The 25,153-nt window shown below is 39.7% G+C and overlaps 1 protein-coding gene and 1 non-coding gene across 10 annotated transcripts in view; both read right to left on the reverse strand.

The window, feature by feature from the left end:
- SKAP1 (src kinase associated phosphoprotein 1) overlaps positions 1 to 25,153 on the reverse strand; it is a 311,620-nt gene that overhangs the window by 235,884 nt on the left and 50,583 nt on the right. The gene's annotated exons all lie outside the window — the stretch shown is intronic.
- On the reverse strand, positions 13,046 to 13,261 carry LOC124904151 (small nucleolar RNA U3). Its single transcript, XR_007066021.1, has one exon. It is a non-coding gene; the product is annotated as a small nucleolar RNA U3 (small nucleolar RNA).

Raw genomic sequence — 25,153 nt, forward strand, 5'->3', positions numbered from 1 at the left:
ACAAAAAGTACAAAGATTAGCTGGGTGTGGTGGTGTGCACCTGCAGTCCCAGTTACTGAGGAGGCTGAGGTGGGAGGATTGCATGAGCCTGCGAGGTTGAGGCTACAGTGAGCCATGATTGCACCACTGCACTCCAGCCTGGGCAACAGAGTGAGACCCTCTCTCAAAAAAAAAAAAAAGTAAAAAATAAAAAATGAACTTTAGTTTGGAGAAAGGTACAAATAAATTGAACCCACAGTATTGAGGGAATCTTGATAAGCAGCAGTCACTGTAGTAGTAATAACAGTAGTGCTAATAACAATGCTAAGATTTATTGAACATTTTGTTGGATGTTGCTCTAAGCACTTTTCTTACATTAACCCATTTCCTCACACTCTAACCCTATTATTATGCCCATTTTCTAAATAAGAAAACTGAGGCATCAAGGATTAAATAACTTACCCATCATAAGAAAGCTAATGGACAAGTGGACAAGTTTCCACCACCAACAATCAGTTTCAGAACAGGACCTCTAATGAGAAACTAAGGAGGAAAGTCTTGAAAATATAATCTAACAATTAAAACAATCATCAAAATTAACTGAGTCTTTCTCTAAAGATATTTTACTATTCTAAAATAATTCAGTGACTCAGTCAACCAATTCAATATTTATTGAATGTCTTCTATGACAAGCCCTTTGCCCAGGTACTATGGATGAAATGATGACTATAATAGATATGATTCGTCTACAGATATATTTCAGTATCTTTCATACTGCAAACACACAGTTCTAGGTTGCCACCCCAAATTCACAGAGTCTATAAAGAACTTAATCGGACAAGTAAAAAACAACGCCATTAAAAAGTTTGCAAAAAGCATGAACAGACACTTCTTAAGAGAAGACACACAAGTGGCCAACGAATATATTAAAATGCTCAACATTACTAATCATCAGAGAAATGCAAATCAAAACCATCTCACACCAATCAGAATGGCTATCATTATTATTATATTTTTTTGAAACAGGGTCTCGCCCTGTCACCTATGCTGGAGTGCTGTGGCGTGATCATGGCTTACTGCAGCCTCAACTTCCTGGGCTCAAGCAATCCTCCCCACCTCAGCCTCCCAGTAGCTGGGAGCAGCACGTGCCATCACACCTGGCTAATTATTGTATTTTTTGTAGAGACAAGGTTTCTCAATGTTGCCCTAGGCTGGTCTCAAACTGCTGAGCTCAAGCCCGCCTCAGCCACCCAAAGTGCTCGGATTACAAGCGTGAGCCACCACACCTGGCCAGAATGGTTATTATTAAGAAGTCAAGAAACAACAGGTGCTGGTGAGGCTGTGGAGAAAAGGAACACTTATACATTGTTGGTGGGAATGTAAATTAGTTTAGCTGCTGTGGAAAGCAGTTTGGAGATTTATCAAAGAACTTAAAACAGAACTACCATTCAACCCCGTAATCCCATTACTGGGTATATATCCAAAAGAAAATAAATCATTCTACCAAAAAGACATATGCACTTGTAGGTTCATCACAGTGCTATTCATAATAGCAAAGACATGGAATCAACCTAGGTGTCCATCAACAGTGGATTAGATTTTTTTAAATATGGCATATATACACCATGGACTATGATGCAGCCATAATAAACAATGAAATCACGTCCTTTTCAACAAGATGGATGCAGCTGGAGGCCATTATTCTAAGCAAATTAATGCAGAAACAGAAAACCAAATACTGCATGTTCTCACTTATAAGCGGGAGCTAAACATTAGGTACTTATGAACATAAAGGTGTGAGCAATAGATACTAGGGACTAATAGAGATGGGGAAAGAGAAAGAGGGGTAGGAGTTGAAAAATTATTGGGTACTATGCTCACTATTTGGGTGATGGGATCATTTGTATCCCAAGCTTCAGCATCACACTATATACCCTGTAACAAACCTGCACATGTACCCCCTGTGTCCAAAATAAAAGTTGAAATTGTAAAAAATAAACAATTCACAGAAAACATTGTCAGGCTTCTGCTGAAAATAGGGCTACTGAATCTAAATCAACAGATTGCAAGGGAGAGAATATCAGATTCTTGGCCATGGAGCTAACCAAAGAACATAGTTATTGAGATTAAAGTACTCAGAGCTTTATTCCCTCAGTCAGCTAATTAGATAGATCCTGATGAAACAGGTCAGACAAACAACTGTAGCTATCCTCATATTATTAGAAATACTGGTCAGGTGTGGTGGCTCACACCTGTAATCCCAGCACTTTGGGAGGCCAAGGCAGGTAGGTTGCTTGGATCCAGGAGTTCGGGACCAGCCATGGGTAACATGGTGAAACCTTGTCTCCACAAAAAAAAAAAAAAAAAAAAAAAAAAAAAAAAGCCAGGCATGGTGGTGCATGCATGCCTGTAGTCCCAGCTACTTGGGAGGCTGAAGTGGGAGGATCCCTTGAGCCTGTGAGGTTGAGGCAGCAGTGAGCCATGATCATACCACTGCACTCCAGCCTGGGTAACACAGCAAGACCCTGTCTCAAAAAAAAAAAGAAAAGAAAAAGAAAAAAAGAAAGGAAAAATAATTCTATTTCCCAATTATAAAAAAATGATTAACATTTATTAGCACTTACATGTTAGGCATTGTGCTAGATATACACATATACATATGCATATACATCATATATATTTTTTTGAGACAGAGTCTCACTCTGTCACCCAGGCTGGAGTGCAGTGCACAATCTCCATTCACTGCAACCTCTGCCTCCTGGGTTCACGCGATTCTCGTACCTCAGCCTCCTGAGTAGCTAGGATTACAAACGTGTGCCACCATACCCAGTTAATTTTTTATCTTTTAGTAGAGATGGGGTTTTCCCATGTTGGCAAGGTTGGTCTTGAGCTCCTTGCCTCAAGTGATTTACCCACCTCAGCCTCCCAAAGTGCTGGGATTACAGGCATGAGCCACCACGTCTGGCCCTGTGCTAGGTATATGTTTTACATGTGTTATTTTATTTATTTATTCATTTTTGAGACGGAGTTTTGCTCTTGTTGCCCAGGCTGGAGTGTAATGGTGCAGTCTTGGCTCACCGCAACCTCCGCCTCCCAGGTTCAAGTGATTCTCCTGCCTCAGCCTCCCGAGTAGCTGGGATTACAGTCATGTGCCACCATGCCCGGCTAATTTTGTATTTTTAGTAGACAGGGGTTTCTCCATGTTGGTTAGGCTGGTCTCGAACTCCTGACCTCAGGTGATTTGCCTGCCTTGGCCTCCCAAAGTGCTGGGATTACAGGCGTGAGCCACCATGCCCGGCACATGTATTATTTTATTTAATCTTCATAAAAACCCTAGGAGGTCAGTATTTTTTTAAGACAAGGTTGCATTCTGTCACATAGGCTGGAATGCAGTGGTGCAATCATAGCTTATTGTAAACTTGAACTCCTGGGCTCAAGCAATCTTCCTGCCTCAGCCTCCGAAGTAGCTGGGACTATAGGTGTGCACCACCACACCTGGCTAATTTCCTTTATTTTTCATTTTAGTAGATACAAATTCTCACTATGTTGCCCAGACTGGTCTCGAACTTCTGGCCTCAAGTGATCCTCCTGCTTTGGCCTCCCCAAAGCACTGGGATTACAGGCATGAGCCACTATGCCCAGCCCAGGACTACTATTATCCTCATTTTACACATGAGGAAACTCAAACTCAGGAAGGTCAAACAACTTGGCCAAGATCACATAGCTACTAAGTGGCAGAACCAAGATTTGTATCCAGGTTGTATTAGTCCATTTTCACACTGCTATAAAGATACTACCTGAGACTGGGTAATTTATAAATAAAAGAGGTTTAACTGACTCACACTTCCACATGGCTGCGGAGGCCTCAGGAAACTTAAAACCATGGTGGAAGGTGAAAGGGAAGCAAGCACCTTCTTCACAGGGTGGCAGGAGAGAGAGAGAACATGAGAGAAGTGGGAAGCACTAGACACTTATCAAACAACCAGATCTTGTGAGAACCCACTCACTATCATGAGAGCAGCAAGGGGCAAATCTGCTCCCACGATCTAATCACCTCCCACCAGGTCCCTCCCTTGACATGTGGGGTTTATAATTCAAGATGAGATTTGGGTGGGGGGACAGAGCCAAACCATATCACAGGTCTACTTGGTTCCAGAGCCCAAGCTCTTAAATTCCATATTAACTGCTTTCCTATTGGCTGTAATATATAAAAAAAAATAAATCTGGTACTTAAGAGAAGATACAGTTGTTTTGTTAGATAGCCTATGGGCATGAATCAACCCTAATATGAATATTAGGGAGTGGTTAGACAGAGGTCTTTAACCTGAAGTCCATAGTTTAGGCTTCAGGGGATTTCCTAAACTCTCTAAAATTGTGGGTGAAATGTAACACTTGTTTTCTTTTCTCTTGGAGAAGAGTCTATAGACCTCATTAGTGTCAATAACTCACCCTTGCCCCACACCCACCAAAAATGATATGACCCACTGAATTAGGTGAATAGAGTTGTAATGGCATTATAAAACTAGCTACCCAGAAAGGCCAACATCTGTGATGTTATAACTCTAGAACATCTAGATGAATTTTTTTTTGCAACTGAAGTATTAAAAGTGTTATTTTACCTGTGACTTATGGAAATTTAAAACACATCATATACTCTCTGCCTTGGTAAACTCCTGCTGAACAAAATCAAATCTCTTCTTAATGACTTAAGGACATCCAAATTTGAACTTCTCTTTTTTGTTGTTTTTGAGACAGGGTCTTGCTCTGCTGCCCATGCTGGAGCGTAGTGACACAATCTCAGCTCACTGCAACTTCTGCCTCCCAGGCTCAAGCCATCGTTCCACCTTAGCTTCTTGAGTATCTGGGACTACAGGCACGCTCCACCATGCCTGGCTAATTTTTGTTTTTTTTTTTTTTGTACAGACAGGGTTTCACCATGTTGCCCAGACTGGTCTTGAACTCCTGGACTCAAGCAATCTGCCTGCTTGGCCTCCCAAAGTGCTGAGATTACAGATGTGAGCCATTGCATTCAGCCTGAACTTCCTTTTTGTACTAAAACAGCAATGCCTTCTGAATGCATAGGCTGTCTGCAATACTCAGTGTCCAAAGACTTCTATCTCTCTCTTGACCATCTCTGTTCTCTGATAATGGCTGTCTCCAAACAGACTGCAAAGGCTAACACTGAAGAGTTATCCTGCATTGAAAATGGAATCTTAGGATTCAGACGGACACCTAGTTGGGCATGGATTCCATGCAAGTTGATAAGGCTAGGAAAACCCCTTGCAACTGATCTTGAGCAGTCAGCCACATGGTAGAAGTTTATTTATGCCCAAGGAAATGGCTTTGCTGAGCAATGCTAAGAGTCTGTACACTAAATATTTCCTATAATTCTTTTTCTCACTTGGAAAGATTCACATTGCTTCCAAATTATCTTCTGAAAGTGTCCCATCTACTACCTTGCAGAAGGTATGGACTAGTGGCAAAGAGTAACATGGCCAGTGACACCCAACAACAGAAATGGGAAAACAGCACCATCTGGTGGAAGTCCCCAGTGGAGGCATCCAAGGCCTGGGACCCAGGGGTCCAGGTACCAGCCTTAGAAACAACTGGGCAGCAAAAGGAAGGTCTTTGGTGGAAGAGCTGGTGATCCTTCTAGTCCCAATTCCTTAATCTCACCAAAAGTACAAGACCTAATGCCTACCTACAAGGAGCTTACAATCTAGTCCAAAATATTAGCTCTTTGTATATAATGAGATGACAATCTAATATGATAAATACTACTGTAACAACAGACAATAGGCATATAACTCAATTATGTAATAGAAGAACATATCACAAGAAGGTCCCGGGTTCTTTTGGGGGATGTAATATTTCTGTGGTCTTGAGTCTATATTTACAAGCCCATCTAGGTAGATAATACAATGTTCACCTACCTACTAAATACAATGATCACAATCAAACTTATATTAAATAATAAACAACATTATCTGAGATTGACAGTATAACTCATCACCTGCTCCCCCACCACAATTTTTAAGTCCATTCCTGGACAGCAAAAAAGAAATTAAATTTTGAAAAGAAATTAAAGTACTATTTAACACTAGAGTCTCCTATAACACTTTTGCTACATGGAATCATTGCTATGGTCAATGAAACACCCACCATGAGTATAAACATTAAGAAACCTAAGAACTCTTTTTGATCAGTGAGTGATTAAGCTTTCTGATTGCAACACTGGAAACCCACATTCTAACATTCCTTCCCCTACTTTCTAGCATGAGGACTGTTTTTTCACCAGCAAATCTCACTAGTATGTCTACACAATCCCCATACTTCCTCCATGTAATAGGCAACAAACTATAATTCGATGAACTAATAAAGGAAAAATGCTAGCCAAATACATTATGGCAAAATAAAAACACTAAACAACAGGTCAGAGTTGGAGGGTTTTTTTCTGTAAATAAAAAGGAGTCATTGAAAGGTCTGTTTCTTTGTTTGTTTGTTTGTCTTTAAGGATAAAGAATGATGTCCACATCAAATCCAGCAGAGATGTGTAGCATGGATGGGAGGGAGAAAAGTGGGGAGATAGTTTAGGAAGCTACTTGAGAGCAAGAGAAAAGACAAGACATTAGATAACAGACTTAGAGACTGGCTAGGAGGAGAGCATCAAGAGGAAAGTCAGAGACGCCTTTCGGTTCCAAACTTGTGTATTGGAGAAAACAAGGTACTGCTTATGTACAAATAACTCCAGCTGATTACTGTATTCTAAACTGTTGTCTCTTTGGCCCTTGCTCTGTCATTTTTGTCACTGTTGACGCTTAAAAACCTAATTTTGTTTTATTTTTTGCTTGCTTCAGGTTAACAGCTACTCTTCGACCACTGAGACGCCATTATCTGATTAGTGAATAACTGGTAGCTGAGTGAATGTGTGACTGTGGCCCATATACTCACTGAATTTTACAGCTGGAAGGACACTTAAAATCATTTACTCTAGCCTTCACTTTACGGATGAGAACAATGAAGCATGGAGAGGTTATCTGATCGCACCATAGGAGTTTAAAAGTCCACACTGTGGGGCCACCACAGTTTATCTTGTACAGAATCAGGGGCAAGTTCAAAAATGTGATATTCATTTAAAAATGAGACAATTTCTACAAAAACATTTAAAACCTCCTTGGAAAAACTCGGCTATCATGCCTTTGATATTTTCCTTGTTATGAACATGGACATATTATTCACCTGAAGGCAAATGTTATGTAAAAAATTTTTAAGCTGGATTAGTTATTAGAGTTCATCTAGGCAAGGTGGATATCTCAGCATTAACATGCCAACACAGTCTCTGTATCTCAAGTTACGAATACTGCATTTGTTCTCTCAGTAGTAGAGATGAATAAATTTCCACTATTTGCCAGACACTCTGTGAGGGACTAAGAGCACAGAAAACCCAACTGTGGACCAGTTTGGCCGAAATAATCAAATTGTGTAGAAGTGATGTAATTGGCCCAGAACATGCAAATGGTAAAAACTGGGACCAGAAGAACCCATGTCTGACTAATGCCAGAATGTCTTACTGCCTGCACATAAGAGTTGCTAAGGGAGGATTCGAGATCAGAGAGAAGCCTGGAAGGGGAGGGTCGGGTCACAGAGAGGCCAGGCCCAAGATGCAGAGGGAGGTCAGGCAGAGGGGCCAGGTCCAGAAGAAGAGAAGGTGGCAAAGGACCAGCCTAGCACCCCAAAGCAGTTATGTTGAGTAAGGGACAGGGTAGGATACTGAGTAGGTTCCAACCTGAGAGCCTCTCTTTTCTCTTGTGAAGTAGGCTGTGACGTCATGGAAAGAGTGAGAAGCAATATGATGAGGTAAAGACTGACAAGGGTTTGCGGAGGAAAAAAAATTAAGGAAAAAGGTTGCTGATGTGGAGCATGTGAAATAACTACCAGTTATCACTAAGGGTTCGACTGAGGTTGAAGACTAAACTTTACTGTAGTGCAGCCAGGATGGAGACTCATGCCTATAATTCCAGCATTTTAGGAGGCCAAGGTGGGCAGATCACTTGAGTCCAGGAATTTCAGACCAGTCTGGGCAACATTGTGAGACCCCATCTCTAGAAAAAATAAAAAAAAAAATTAGCCATGTGTAGTGGCTTGTACCTGTGGTCCCAGCTACCTAAGAGGCTGAGGTGGGAGGACTGCTTTAGCCCAGGAGGTTGAGGCTGCAGTGAACCATGATTGTGCCACTACACTCCAGCATGGGTGACAGAGCAAGACCCTGTCTCAAAAAAAAAAAAAAAAATTAAATAAAAACATTTACTATGGCACAATCCAATTGTGCAATTTTTCTCCAGAACTGAATAGCTTTCCAGATATACAAACAGAGAAGATGAACAGTTGAACTGATGATCCAAGATTAGGATTTTTCTAGGCTTGTGGGATGAAAAGACAAGAGAATCAGAGAAGACTAGAGGACTAGAGGGATAGGTAATAGAGCTCAGGCTGACCAGAGAAGAAACCAATTGCCAAAGACTTCACTATAGTGCCTGCATATATTAAATACTTTAGTCCATTAAAACATTCAAAAGCAGGAGATATCATTACTCTTCTCTTTCAGGAGTAGAACTGTCCTTTGTCCCACAGGTCCCAAACTTCTCCTACCCCTGTGTTCCCTATTTCAATGGATGATATTACTATCCACCCAGCTGAAACTTGGGAATCATCCCTATACCTCTTTTTCTATTACTATATATATCCCATTAGTCACCAAGACCTGTAGATTCTACTCCCTTAATAACCTTTTAATCAATCTCCTCTCCATCTCTGCAGACACTGAGTTCATCTGAGCTTTCAAAAGGCCTCACCCACATCCATGTAACCACATCGCAAACGGTCCATCTGCCCTCATCCTCCTCCCTTTGACCTACTCTCCTCAGTGCTGATGAAAAAGGGAATGGAATGAGCATGAAGAGCAAAGTCTTTGCAGACAGGTCTGGGTTGAAGTCCCAGCTCCTCCATCTTCTAGCTGAGACTTTTGCTGCAGCCTTAGTTTCCTCATCTTTAAAACAGAAATAATAACCACATCTGCCTCATTTGGTTCTTGGGAGGACTAACAGAGGTAATGCACGTAAAGAACCTGGTAAACCTCCAATAAATGTCAGCTGTTAGTCATTAGCACCTTCATTATCTTAATGACCTAAAAGGCCAGCTTGGTCCTATCATTCTCCTGCTTGAAATCCTTCCATGGCTCACCTCAGCTCTCAGGTCCTCCCCGGCTCCCGTTCACACTCCTGCCTACTTGTTCAAGCACCCTCTGCCAGCAAACCTTTCCTTTCATGCCTCCTTCTTCTCCTAGCGGACCCTCCATGATCCTTTGAGGCTCAGCTAAGTGTCCTATGTTAGGGTTCCCACAGCACATCTGTGCATGCCTCTCAGTAGCACCTATAATACTGTATTAGCATCTTCTTGTCTCTCTGTCACTGAGCCCTCAAGGGGCAGTGGCATAGAGCTTGTGCTCAATAAATGTTTGCTAAATCAGCGAATGGAGGTAAGAAGCAGGAAGGGCTGTCTGAGTTCAGTATGAGACTCATTCAGTATAAGAGAGCATTTCAGGGAGGGGTAGGGACAAGCTTGGAGAGGCAGGCAAAGGGCAAGGCACTTCCAGGCAATGCTATGAAGTATGGATTTTATTCCAAAAAGGTGGGGCTGGGGTGCCTTCATTTTCCTCTAAATCACTCACACAAAGTCAAGAGGGGAAAAAAGAAAGAAAATCAAAGTAAGGGATGAAAAAGAAGAGAGACAAAAATAAGAAAGCTTTGTTAAATTGAAACCTTCATCCAAATGAAGAATTTTTTCCCCCAAAGCCTGGCTTCAAAGACAAACCACAAAATGACCAGTAAAAATATACTTCAAAAGACACGACTGAATACACATTGCGGTGGCAAGAATCCAATATATAAATACAATCAATTTGTTTCCTCATTAGAAGCTTTCATGAAGAAAATGATTTAATACAAATGCTAAAGTTACTGACATAGATTAATTGAAAAATAACAACAGAATCCTAATTAAAGATATAACATTATTTCACTCATTCACACTACACCAAAATGTGAATCAATAAATAACAGAATTTAGAAAGCCAGCTTCTACTGGTAACCACTCTAAGAACTACAATGAATTACTGACATTTTCATAAAATGCCTATCCTTATGTGTACACTTTCTTCTATTTAAGAACTGAGATGTATACAGAAATCCAGAAATCATTTTAAAATTATTTCACACTTTTCCTAAATTCGTACCATTTTACTTAATCCAGATTATTGCTTTTGCCCTCAAGTTGATTTTTTTCCCTAATTGTAAAGATTCTATACTAAAGTATCTTCTTCTTTTTTTTTTTTTTTTTGAGACAGAGTCTTACTCTGTTGCCCAGGCTGGAGTGCAGTGGCATAATCTCAGTTCACTGCAACCTCTGCCTCCCGGGTTCAAGCAATTCTCCTGCCTCGGCCTCCTGAGTAGCTGGGATTACAGGTGCCCGCCACCATGCACAGCTAATTCTTTTGTATTTTTAGTAGAGATGGAGTTTCACCGTATTGGCCAGGCTGGTCTCGAACACCTGACCTCGTCATCCGCCCGCCTTGGCCTCCCAAAGTGCTGGGATTACAGGCATGAGCCACCGTGCCCGGCCTAAAGTATCATTCTTACCCATTTACTACTTTGTCATAATTAAACCCTTACATAAAGTACCCAATTATCCAAGCCATAAAAAAATGGAATGGACTTTGATCTAAAAGCTAATGACTACGTGACCAGCTCTGTGGCTATATCAGTACAGGTCAGGGGTCCTCAGAGTTTCGATTACAATCAACCAGTCAATCCCAGGCTTTACCTGGCTCATCTTGGGACCAGGGCTTTCAGTTCTGTCTCACTTTGAGGGATTCTCCAGCATCAGAAACATCTTGAGATGTTGCCAGTTCACAAGGAAGCACAGAGCAGCATATGAACATATCCCCATCTCCTCACCCCAGGAGCTAATCAGGCTGAAATGTTGTCAGCTACTGACAGTTCTTAAGCCCTGCTGGAAAGATTTTCCCTTCATTGTTAAAATTCAGTTGAGAACCAAAATAGTCACTTACCTCAAAAACAAAAAACAAAAAACAGGGTATTCTGATAAAGATTTGTACACACTTTCCTGATCTTAAGAATCCCTTGGACCTTTTATTGAAGCACAAATTCTCAGGGTCCACCCCAGACCTAGTGAATTAGCATCTCCAGGGTAGGGGCCTAGAAATCTATATATTTTAACAAAATCCCCAGGTTTTTGTTAAAAAACCTGATGATGGGGCAGTTTTGGAAAATACGATAAAGGAAACAGATATTTACCAGTGGTTGCCCATTAAGGAAATTCTAGACAGGCAGCTCTCAATTCAAGTATTGACTGTATTCTAAAAGTTCATTTCCAGTTGTTTGGACCTTGGAATACATTTTCCTAATGAAACAAAGTTGAAAGTTGTCTGGGCCAGCTTTGAAAATCTATTAAATCTTGTTAACAGATCTGAAAATTTGTGAATACAGTCTTTAATTTTCAGACCAATCATATTTCGAAAGTTGAAGCATATATCCATAGAATGTATTTTCCCATTGACATAACATTCTGAAAAGTGGTTAGGGCACCAAATTGTATGCATTCCTTATTTACAGTGCTTTGTATACAAATTATACCCAATGATACTGAAAAATAAAATCAAGTATGGCAAAGGAGATTTGTCTTCCTTCTCTGGGTACAGGGAACATAGGCAACCTTTGACATTCTTATGCTCTTTCTTTGCAACCATTTTCTGCCTTCCAGTGGCCTCAGCCCTTGTGCCAAAGACCCAAATGTTATCCACTACTAAAGCATCCCTCCTCAGCTTACCTATCACTGCCTCATGCTTTACTCTTCCAAACTACCTATCTGTCCTCTTCAAACCCAATCAAAACTCTTATTTCCAGGAGTTGGTTCCATTTTGTCTTTTCAGCCATACCTCCCATTACTCTCTTTTACCTAATCAACAGAATCACCCTTTGGTTCCCAAAAATGCCTAAACTTTATCACCTCTGTGTCTTAGCACATGGTATTTCTGCATGCAATGTGTCTTACCAAAAACCTATCCCATTCACCCCACGGCCAAGTCATGATGCCAACTCATCCATGAAGGCTTCTCAAGCCCACCAGAAGGGATTTCCTTCTCTGGGCTTTTACAGTATTATGTATGTGCAGTGTTTTGTATACCTCAATAAAACTGGAAAATAAAATAAAATATGGCCTCTTCTAAAACCTTGCCACAATATATCTTGAATTACAGTTATTTGTGCAGGATTTTTTTATCTTTCCCATGAGGTTATAAATTTCTTGGGAATATTTGTTGGCTATCCACTATGTGACATGTTTGTGTTAGGCACTTTTATGTACATAACAACAACCCTACAAGGTAAGTGTATTGTATAATGATTTGGTTTATTCTGCTCAAAAATAAGTTACAGAAGGACTGGGACCTATGTTGTGTTCACCACAAAAATGCTTTGCACATAGTATATGTTCAATAAACATTTGTAGAAACTATGAGTGAATGAATGAAGTTGCATTATTCACTTTCTATGACAAGGTTGAGCCTCAATAAGAGTGCTTTCCCAATAGTCATACTAGCTGGGTTCAAATTCCAATTCTAGAACCTAATAGCTATGTAACCTTGAGCAAGTTGATTACCTTTCTGAACCTCAGTTTTCTCATCTGCTATATAGGGATTATAACAGTATCAACCTCACACACCTGTTGTAAGGAAAGCTCTTGACACTGAGCCTGGCACATGGTATGTGTGTGATGAATGTTAGCTGTGACTATTATTCTTAAAAAAAAAAAAAAACCCACATGGGGGGAGGGGAAGGGATAGCATTAGGAGATATACCTAACGTAAATGACGAGTTAATGTGTGCAGCACACCAACATGGCACATGTATACATATGTAACAAACCTGCACGTTGTGCACGTGTACCCTAGAACTTAAAGTATAATTTTAAAAAACCCACATAAATGGGAACCACTCAGACTGTGTCCTCTCCTCCTTACTCTCCCAGAGGAAGAGAAGAATGATTGTCAATGGCAAATGGCAGGTGCAGCGAAGCAACACCAAGAGCCAGCTTCATGCTCCGGAGAGAACACTACATCTCCTTCTCATGGTTTCTGGTGCTCCACATGTCCAGAGAAACTTCTCTAGCAACTAACTATAGAAATGATCCCTGAAAGTATAGTCTTTATGACTGTTATTCTTAAGCTGCAGAGATAACGAACCTCTAAAGTCCTCATTCTGTCTGAGAAAAGGCATCCTCTGTTACTTCTATAACCCTCAGTATACCTAGCACTGTGCATTGCCTGTAATAGTGGTTCAAAAAACCACTTCACTGAATGTCCTCAGTGAAGCCATCTTAACCAAAAGTTGGAAGGAAACCATTGAACAGGTCTAGTACACATGACTGAACAACCAAAAGTATCTTCACCCTCCAGGTGAATTTGTATTTTAAAAAAGGACGTTGAACCCAAATGAATCTCTAAGGGGTGAAACTGCAGGCATGTAATAAATTGAAAACAAACCTTCAAACCTTCTAGAGCAGATTATCTGGGGGTAGTGGGCTCCATGCTGGTCTATGGAGGAGCTAAGATGACTCTAGCCGCTCACTGGCCCAAGAACTGCTTGAAAAACAAGAATATGTCTTATCTGACACTGTCTTGATCACCTGGCATAGTGCCTGACATAAACAAATAGCCAATACATATTTGTTAAGTAAATTATCTGCTTCCGGTCTATAATCCTCACCCGGCTTTTAGTTGATTCCATTTCTCTTTATTACCAACATAAAAATCAATCATGGTGACTGATGTTTTGAGAAGGAGGAAGTGAATGGTTTACTCAAGCACCCTCACTTTGGAAAAGTAGTCTGACAAATACAAATGTTTTACTAAATAGTCACACAGAGTGTAGATAATCCTCTTCTAATGAAGGATTCATCCTGTGTCAGTTCAGTGCAGCTCAAAGGGATAACATCTGAAAAATGGAAGTTGTTCCCAGTCAGTGATACCTCATCTAATGAAGGCCTTGAGAGTCAACTTCCTTAATTAAAAAAAAAATTTTAGAAAAATAATCACAAAATAAAACTCAAAGTACTGCTATATTTTACAAGGCTCAAAAATAATTTCATTTTCATGTGTATGTATTTAAGCACAGAGTAAAACACTTCGGAAGACAGCTGTTTATTTGCACAGAAGTGACCCAAGGCCAGGCTGCACAATTAAAGCCTAATTTTCTCTTCCTACATCTCTCCCTGTCAGTCCCAACTCCTTTCCCACCTGGAAACTGAATATCCTTCAACTCTTAAATCTCTGCCCTTTTTTTTTTTTTTTTTTTTGAGATGGAGTCTCGCTCTGTTGCCCAGGCTGGAGTGCAGTGGAGCAATCTCGGCTCACTGCAACCTCTGCCTCCCAGGTTCAAATGATTCTCCTGCCTCAGCCTCCCGAGTAGCTAGGATTACAGGCGCCCGCCATCATCATGCCCGGCTAATTTTTTTGTATTTTTTTTTAGCAGAGATGGGGTTTCACTATGTTGGCCAGGCTGGTCTCAAACTCCTGACCTCAAGTGCTCTACCTGCCTCAGCCTCTCAAAGTGCTGCGATTACAGGTGTGAGCCACCATGCCAGCGAATAAATTACCCTTTTTAAAAAGTTTGCTCTTTCAACATGGAATGGAGGAGCAGAATAAACTGGAACAGGGAGAGACTGGAGGCAGAGAACCAGAAAGGAGAATTCTGCAGTGCTTGAGTACGACTTTATGAAGACTAAAGTTTAGCTAGTGACAAAGGGAAGAGAAAGAGGAGGACATTTAGAACGAAGAATCAACAGGCCTTGTTGATGGTTTGGGGAGTGAAGGGGGAGCAATCAGGAATGACTCCCAGGATTTTGCCTTGGGAGCCCAGGCCTAGAGAAAGCAGAAGTAGACTTCAGGGGTGAGCAGAATGTAAGATAATGAGTTCAGTTCCGGACATTCAAGCAGTTAGGATTCTTCTAGCCACAAATAACAGAAAACCTGACTGACAAGGGCCTAAACAAGTGGAAGTTAATTTTTCCCACAAAACAAAAGGTCTGAAGACAGGAGATTCTAGAGTTGTGCAGGGCCCAACGATGACATGAAGGAGCCAGGCTCTTCCCATATTTCTGCTCTAACACCTTAGAGCAGAGTAACGTCCTACTGCATTTCAGTGTATTACTATCTCCCAACTATAAGACTATCCTGTGAGAATCTATCAGAAGTCTTCTTACATTTATTTGGCCATAACAATATTTTATGTAAACTCTAGACCAAGCACTGGCAAAGCAGAATGGCTTATAGATCATGATTCTGTTGTCAAGGAAGAAGGGATGGTGGCTGCTGAGTAGGCATCCAGCAGGGTATGCCCAGCTTTGTGAAGTTTGAGGAACACCCAGAAGGAGGTATGCAATATGCTGTCTGGTGCCTTGGAGGGAGAACTGCAGCTGAGCTGTAGAATTGGGAGTCTCCCATGCACAGGGGAAGCTGTGGAGCTATGGACATGCATGTAACTGCCTCCTAAGGAGAACGTGGTGAGGAAAGAGAAAACCCTGAGGAACAAGAGCAAAGAGGGCAGGGTAGAAAAATGAGCTCAAGGGCCTAAAAAAGAGCATAAACACAAGGAAGAAGAAAACCAGGAGAATTCATGAGAATCAATGGAGAGTTTTTTACATTTATGAGAAAAAGGATGTGATCAGCAGTGTCAAATGCTACAGAAAGACCAAATAAGACAAAGACTTAACAGTAGCACCTGGCTGTGGCAATTGGAGACCTGGGTACATTGGAGAAAGTTGCTCAATAGGAGCAGAAGCTGGATTAAAGGGGACTGAATAGTGACTGGGAAGTGACTAGAGACCAGGAAGCCAGAAATAGCTACTCTAGGCTTCTATTTCAAGAAGTTTGCCTGCACAAAATAAAAAAAAAAAATAGATGCAAAGACAGTAGCTAAAGAGGGAATCACTGTGTAGGACACAATGATTTTATTAATATTAGGAGAAATTTGAGTATATTTATATAATTATTGGAGAGACATAATGAAGAAGGAAAAGCTAAATTTAAGAAAGAGGAAGTCTCTACATCAAGAATGGAGTGAAGATAACAACTATGAGCCAATGCTTCAGTCCTCAAATACTGTGTGGGGGGACTCTGAACTCAAAAGATGAAAAAAGGACAGGGTACTGTAAAGCCACAAAGACAAACTTTAAAAGGGGAGAGGTCTGAAGCAAGATTGAATAGTGAAAGTCCAGAAGTAGCAGCAGGGAGCTTGAAGAATGCCAACAGCACTTTGGGAAAACGAGCAGATTCTATTTAAAAAGGCTGCAAGCAAAGAGGGTCCTGTGGGAGAACCATCCTTTAGGATGCAGAAAAGAGGTGGAGGATATTGTGGGGTTTGGTTATAACAGGACGTAGATTCTAGGGAACACAGGGGAAAGAGTTAGAAAAGAGGTCTTCAAGAAAGAGGAGAAATGGTAGAGACAAGGAAGTGCAAAGCTGAATAGGGATGCTGCCGGCCAAATGTAGAGGGCTGTCGATAGGTCTCAAAGATGGCTGGAATGCCTGGCATCCATGCTGTGATAGAACTCCAATACATGGTCAGTAGCCCTGTAACCTTTTGTCACAGTTCCAATTAGAATATTAGAGATATGTTATTAGAGGAGACACGTGAAGAGATGGATGCCTTGGTTCTGTCTCTCCTAACACTCAGTAAAAAGAAAGCATCCTTATTTCTAGGAAAGAATATGTAGGGTTGGCTACTAAATAGTAAGTTTCCTAATAAAGAGGGTCTTTTGTTGTTCTCAGGTCTAGTCTAGGACCTAAAAATACATTTATAACAGTTTTTCACCATGCATTTTACTCACATCATTGAACTCATGCAACATGCCAGCACCATGCTAGACCTTTTTTTTTTTTTTTTTTGGTGACTATAAGACCATTCATGCCTTTAAGGAGCTTATGATCTCCAGAAATATGTATTCTAAGTTCTGAGAAACTGAATTTAAAATGAATCTGATGTGTGAAAACCGTGCTTCTCAAATGTTAATGTGCATACTGTACAAATAAACTTAGGATCCTATTAAAATGAGATTATGATTAAGTAGGTCTCATTCAATGGAGCCTGAGAGTCTGCATTGCTAACAAGTTTCCAGGTTGCTGTTCCATGTTGATACTTGGAGTATCGAGGATCTAAAGACTAGCGAAAGCAATTTATTGTCTGATCTTTTCTTGTCTCCCCTATAAAGTCGTGATAATCTTTCTTCCTTTCCTTGCTAACCCTTCTATCCAGTGTCCATTTTTCTAATTAAAACAAGTTAGGGGATGGGGGCAGGAGCAGGGAAGGGAAGCTAGAAAACCTCATGAGGGGCTTTTTCTTCTAAGCAACTATTAGCTACATACACTGCTTTCATGAACATGTCAAACATCTATCTCATGTGATTAAATACTTCTGTGGAACCACTAATATTTCAAACAGGGCACCTAAATATTCAGTAGAAGAACAAGAGACTGAGAACAGCAATTAATTCTAGTTATGCCATATGGCAGCATAGAACACTGGCTGGAACCTGAAAACTCAATTTCACAAGAGTCTTACTTATTCTGAATTTTAACCATTTTAGGATCAGCAAACATATGCCTACCAACCTGCTCCATTTATGCAAAATTCTGAAGCATAATCACACTGCACACTCAAAAATGATTGGTTTTTCCCAAATGGACTTAACATTTTTCTCCTACAAGATTCGCAAAATAAAGTAGCTGCTGAGAGCCCCAGTTTAATCTCCCTGTTAAATATAATCTTCACACAATTCTTTTAAAGAATAGTATCACTTGCTTCCTTACCATTTTCATCATCAGCTCACAATATTGCATGAGTATAATTTTTTGTGGTCTTGGATTTCTCAGCTCTGTGTTGGTTCATGAACCCTCCTATCCCTGTGCACTCTCTTCCCTCCACCGTGCCTGTAACTGCTAAGACACCCATGCCACTATCTCTTCTCTCCATCTCACCTCTCCAGAATGGAAATATTATCACTTTCAACATATACTTCATCTCCAGTCCTCTTAGAACTAAGATACCTTCATGTCTCCTGTACATTTAATAATTTCAAGATAAGGACAGAAAAATCAGTTCTTGCTTTGTGAACTTTTGTCTCTGGTGCTTGAGAGACTGTCCTAATATCCCCTGAACATGTTTTAGTGATAACATTTACTGCACTAGGGCCAAAATGATTTTGTGCCACTTTCAATTCTAGTTCAATAAAAGAATAAGAGCTTTGTTTCTAACCTCTGTCATTTTTAATACCATAAAATGATTTTTAAATTATAAAATTGAGTTCCATTTCCTGCTGGACTACCAATCTCATATTAGCTTTCCTTTTATCAAATTTATGAGAAAAGTCAGAAATTACCTTTCCTTTTTTTAAAAAAAATCAAAATTTCAGGATATCCCAGGTAGAATGTTCGAATTGAATTTTAGCTCCTAATAATTGCTGGTTTAGAAGTTTTAAAGAAGTACAAAAGTTAGCTACTTCCTGTTACTTATGTCAGAAATAACAAACTGGAGGATTATCCCCTAGTTCAGTATTACCCAAAAATAATAAGATTATTCCTAGAAAATTATCATCTTTAAAAACCATATCCCATATGGAGGCAGTCTATGATTTTCTGAAACCAGAGTGAATAAAATCCATGGTTCCTGAAATGCAAAGTCAAACCAATCAAATATTTTTTATAACATTATATTATGGGGCTGGGCTTGGTGGCTCACATCTGTAATCCCAGCACTTTGGGATGCCGAGGCAGGCGGATCATGAGGTCAGGAGTTTGAGACCAGCCTGGCCAACATGGTGAAACCCTGTCTGTACTAAAGATACAAAAATTAGCCGGGCATGGTGGCATGTGCCTGTAATCCCAGCTACTCACGAGGCTGAGGCAGGAGAATCACTTGAACCCGGGAGGCAGAGGTTGCAGTAAGCCGAGATCACGCCACTGCACTCCAGCCTGGGTGACAGAGTGAGACTCTGTCTCAGGAAACAAACAAACAAACAAACAACAATAAAAAACCTTTATATTATGAAAATTTTCAACTTTGCACAAAAGTTGAAAGAACACACATGTACACCCACAATCTAGTGGATATATGCTGTGATTCACATTTTATTTGCTTTGTCATATATCCTTCCATCCATATTATTTTTTATACATTCCAAAACAAACTGCTCAAATTAGAACACTCCATCCCCAAACAATTCAGCATGCATATAATTAACTAGACTTCAATATTTGTTTACAGTTTTTTAAAACCAATAATCTTTGAAAGATGCCACTTCATTTTTTTGATGGCTTGGCTAGATAAAATTCTAAATTCTAAATCCTAATATTTAAACAAATTCTGCTACTTTGAGTAATTTCTCATATACCAGTTCTCTCATCAACAAAAGAACAAAGGCACTTGGTAAACGTGATAGAAGGTCTAAATTACCAAATTGTTTGGGCCTTGTGGTTATGGTAGAATTTACAAATGAGAGTCACTCACTAATATAACTTGGAGAAATAGCTAATTGGAGATTATGTGGCCATAAAGTTTTCTGTAAATTATAATGAGAACCTCAACAAGGCTCACAAACTCAAGAGGGAGCTTTGAGTTTCAGCATTTAATTATAACATATCTTTTATAAACCACACTGTGATAAAAACTACCAGAAGCTGGACGATTTAAGAATGGCTCACTACAAGTGGGGATTTTGTAACAACAACAAGGCACCAGCATCAAATTGGAATTTTCTTGGCTTTGCCATGCTGTAGTACTACTGGTTTGTAAACTCTATTAATTGTCTGACTACAGTAAGAGCTGCCACAGGGATAGCACCTCTTTTATGAGCTGTTTGTTCCCCTACACTATTTTTTTTTTCTTTCCTAAGATGGGCCCTGGAAGGGACACCCTTCGAAGCCCAAAGAATCAAAGCTACTGCAAAGCACTGCTGAGAGTTTTGAAAGAAATATGAAGAAACTACATCACGCCTGGGGCGATAGGCTGAGATCTTCCCAAACAGGTCAGCAGTTGGTCTCTAAAATATTCCTGTTGCCAAGGAGGCAATGACATCTTGTGTAAATCAAAAACTAAAACCCTAAGATATCTCATTTCCATTTTAAATGCTTGGGGGCTAAATATGGATGTCTAGCACTCGAGAAGTTCCTGTGGGATTGATTTTTTTCCCATCTTCTCTGAGCCCTTTGCTGAGTGTGATAAGCAGGACTGCATTTCATTATCAACCCTGCTAGCACTGTACTTCAGGGAGACTAGAGGAGGCTACACACTAGGAGAGAAGATCCAGAATCCAAAGAAGAAATGATTCACATGGTGTGATTATAAAAACCCACTTTATGCTCAACTCATTTTCAACAGAATCATGAAATAAAATAAAATCCCAAGAAATGAAATTTCCTGCATCACATTCCAAATTTTTTAAAAAGTCATGGGGGTACCATAAAAGAAATCAAATAGAAGTTTTAAGGTTTGGTTGGTAATGTGTGCATTTTTGGAACATTTATTTAAAAAAATAATTCCAAACAACATTTTGGGTAAGCAACCTAAAAAGAAAACATAAGATTATCATTAGGGGAATCTTCAAGTGACTCAGTGTTACAGAAGTAACATCAGAACAAAGGGCTTGGCTCCTGACACTTGGCCCAGTGCTCTTGCATTTCCCTCCCCTCTGTTCCAGTTTCCCTGTAACACAGAAAGTGGATACAGGCTGGGTCCATATCAGAAACAAGAGAAAACATGCAAATTAGAGAAAACCATCATCAGTAAGGTCCCAAGCCACAGGTTCCTGGAATCCACAAACAGATAAATACAGAGAGGCCTTTTTCATTGGCTTTCCTTAAACAGAGAAAATAGCATAGCTCTGGGACAAAAGGCTAGCTCCAGATCAAATGAGACTTAAAATCAAAGCCAAAGCAAATGGTGATAAAAATGAAGGCAGTAATTTCATACAGATGATCTTTTCACACAATGTATGAATTAAGTCCATCTACAGACAGTGAGGCTTCACGTATTAAAAAAAAAGGACACAGGATTTTCTGAAACCAAGACAAATCCATATTGAGTAGCTAATAGGAATGTGCCCAAGTGATAACGATGGCTAAAATTCTATCAGGAGTAAAGCAAATTTCAGTGACCTAACTATACAGTTAAAGAGTACGGCTCAGCTTATTATTCTAATGGGTTAGTCAGACTGTAAGGGTGCAAGTTCAGTTACCTGCCTGTGTTCTAGCTCACAATCCCAAACTCCTTTTCACTCTTGATTGAGGAGCTCAGTACTGGGAAGAATTATACATGATCTAGTTTTGCAAGTGATCTAAAAACTCTCTTAAAAATACATTGTCCTAGGTGCGGTGGCTCACGCCTGTAATCCCAGCACTTTGGGAGGCCAAGGTGGGTGGACTGCTTGAGGCCAGGAGTTCAAGATCAGCCTGGCCAACATGGTGAAACCCCGTCTTCACTAAAAATACAAAAATTAGCCAGGTATGGTGGTGCACGCCTGTAGTCCCAGCTACTCGGGTGGCTGAGGCACAAGAATTGCTTGAATTTGCGGAGGTTGCAGTGAGCCAAGATCATGCCACTGCACTCCAGTCTGGGTGACAGAATGAGACTCTGTCTCAAAAAAACAAAAAACTAACTAACTAACAACAACAACAACAACATCAAAAACATTTTTCTGAACTTCAATCTAAAATCTTAAAGATATAAAATGAAAATATAAAAGGTATGGTTTATTCTGAACCACCAAGGACTATGGTCATTATTACATTAAAAAATGTTATTTAAGAAAAATTGTTCTACTTCCAGATAGCCTCACATATGAAAGAATAAACAAAATAATCATTATGATAAAATTATAAGGAGAGTTATACATTTCAAAGCTATTTTGAAAGGACAGAGACTTGCCATAAAAAACACATAAGATGATCTTCCTTACCAGGTCTTAAAAGTTAAGCCAAGAGATCAACAGTAAGTAATATTCTATCTTTCTCACCTGTAGGGCATTCCAGATTAAAACAGCAATAAATACAACCTCTCATTCCTAGAGAAGTAGATTCACAAAACTCTTTAACTCAGTTGTGAAATCTCAACATTCATCCACTGAATAACAGAGAACTAAGCAAAAATTTGACTGATATAACTGATGAGTTGAGTAATAATGTTGAAGTTGTTGTGGGTTTGTTTTTTCTTCCTTTAAGGATGGGAGGGAGGGATAAGACTGAAAAAGGAAGAAATGAGTTATTAACCTTCCAGATGTGGTCAAATTATTGCTATGACTTTTGAGCCTTTTCAGAGCTATTTAAACTTAGACGGATCATTCAACTACCTCTTCCTTTTTTTTTTTTTTTTTTTCTGCATTGGCACTGAAGCTCCAGTACAAGTAGCAAAATTAAAAAACAGAAAAAGATGTTATGAGTAAATCTTGAAACTTGTGAATAACATAAATGTATTAATAGCACATTATACATTAGTTCTTTTGATAAGCATACTTCATTTGAATGTGTTTTGTTTTGGGGATTTTTAAGCTCAATAATTAACATTTAAGAAAAGTAAAACTCTCTATATAATTAATGGTAATTATATTTACAGTATACTACTTCAAAACTCTTGCTCCCAAGAGTTTTATCAGGCTAACTCCTTGTCTTTCTTCCTATAATACAAAAATATCAGAATTATACATTCTTAAGCTAAATCTTGTTTTAAAGCTAAATCCACGTTAAGCTGAAAAGAAAACATGAAATTCCCAAAGAAAGTCAGAATTATTTTTATGAGATTTTACTAGTATATCATGTTTCACACAGAGCTATAGGTTAGCCACCCACAAATGAGACACGTTCAAGATATTCTTTCAGCCTGTAGTTTAAATGTCCTGAGTTTTGTGCCATAACCCTGTTACACAAAATGTATTTCTTTATTTCTTTCCATCTCAATATGATATAAATCTACTGGTCTCTTTTTGGAACTCCTTCAGCATTACTAAGTTTCACAGAAGGAAACAATACTCCAAGTTTGCTTCCATTGGCTCTGTCCTTCACTTCCAACAGGGAGCATAAATGACTACTTATCCAAGAAGGGCCATTGAGAGAGAAATTAAGCCATATCTCAATAATAAAAATATTCTATTTTTGGCTGGGCGTGGTAGCTCACTCCTGTAATCCTAGCACTTTGGGAGGCCAAGGTGAGTGGATCACCTGAGGTCAGGAGAGACCAGCCTGGCCAACATGGTAAAACCCCATCTCTACCAAAAATACAAAAACCTTTAGCCAGGTGTGGTGGCTCATGCCTGTAATCCCAGCTACTTGGGAGGCTGAGGCACAAGAATCGCCAGAACCTGGGAGGTGGAGGTTGCAATGAACCAAGATCGCACCACTGCACTCTAGCCTGGGCAACAGAGACTCGGTCTCAAAAAAAATATATATATATATATTTTTTTTTTCTTTACCCCTCCCCCACTCTCAACGTATTCTTGCAGTCAGATGGCCTCCACTGAATCAAACATTTAAAAAATGCTCTACTGTTTCTCCCAATGCGTTAGAATGCCATCAAGTGTCTGAGCACAGATCACAACTGCTTCATTCCAGGTGTCTCACATCTGGTGCTAATCCTGCAGTGACCATCGTAATAAAGCAGGAAGTGCCTTTGCCTGGCTTTCATACTAGCCACTCTCCAAAGGGCTCAATGAAAACTTAGACTTGGAATGTGAAAGCTGTTTAGTTTTTAAGAAAAGCAATGAAAATCACAGCTTAGGACAACAAATACCACAATAGGGCTTCATTTCCTTGGAATCACAGAAATTGCTATCCGTTTTTATTTTGTGTTACATGGAAAATATTAGCCTTCATTGGTAACACTTTCAAACAAAAAGAAAAGAGTATGTAAATATAGATAGGATTTTATTTTTTGTTTCTAAGTCTAAAAAAAGATAGCTATTTTTTGTTTCTAAGTCTAAAAACAGAATAGCTAAAGTGATTTGTACTGAAAAACATGAGCACTTGGAGAACACCCAGGATTCTTGACACAATTGTCTTTTCCTGTGGTCATTCACTCTAGACAACAAAAAATAGCAAAAAGCACATTATAATAGCTGTGATAGAGTCAGATGCTTCCATTTACAGCAAGTCCACAACCATGGCAAATACCAGTGAATGCCAAGCCAGCCATAAAAATAAGAGCTAAGCCCCTAAAGTTTACCAAGAATCACAGACAGTGCTACTTTTATTTCTCTCCACCCTTTTGTTTCTAGAGCAATACACGTTGAGGAAAGAATTAAAGGAAGCAAGGAAACAACAAAGAGACTAGGAAGTTGTAAAATATATATATATGTGTGTGTAAATATATAATTTACATTTATCTAGTAGTGGCTTTTCCAGATTATCTTGCTAGAGATTTATCTACCTTCCAAATAAGACTTGAAGTGCTAAATTATAGTTTTAGATAGGTTACCACCCCCCCCAAATTTATCAAACTCCTAAAATATTATTGTTTTAATCTGACTAAAAATAGGCCAGGCACAGAGACTCAGGCCTGTAATCTCAGCATTTTGGGAAGCCAAGACAGGAGAACTGCTTGAGTGCAAGAGTTCCAGACCAGCCTGGGCAACACAGTGACACCCTGTCTCTACAAAAAGTAAAAAATTAGCCAGGCATGGTGATGTGCAGCTACTCAGGAGGCTGAGGTCGGGGGATCGCTTGAGCCCAGGAGGTCGAGGCTGCAGCAAGCTGTGATTGTGCCACTGCACTCCAGCCTGGGCCACAGAGTGAGACTCTGTCTAAAAAAGCGAAAAACAAACAAACAAAAAAATGACTAAAAAGAAACCCTTTTAAATGATCTTCATTAATTTTAATTATTTTTGTGTTACTGTATGGTTCATGTATTTGCCGTATGTTTATTTTTTACTCTTTTTTTTTTGAGACAGAGTCTCACTTGGTCGCCCAGGCTGAAGTGCAATGTAATGATCATGGCCCACTGCAGCCTCAACCTGCTAGGCTCAAGTGATCCTCCTACCTCAGCCTCCCAAATGGCTGGGA

Source organism: Homo sapiens, chromosome 17 (assembly GCF_000001405.40).
Source record: "Homo sapiens chromosome 17, GRCh38.p14 Primary Assembly".
NCBI lineage: Eukaryota > Metazoa > Chordata > Mammalia > Primates > Hominidae > Homo > Homo sapiens.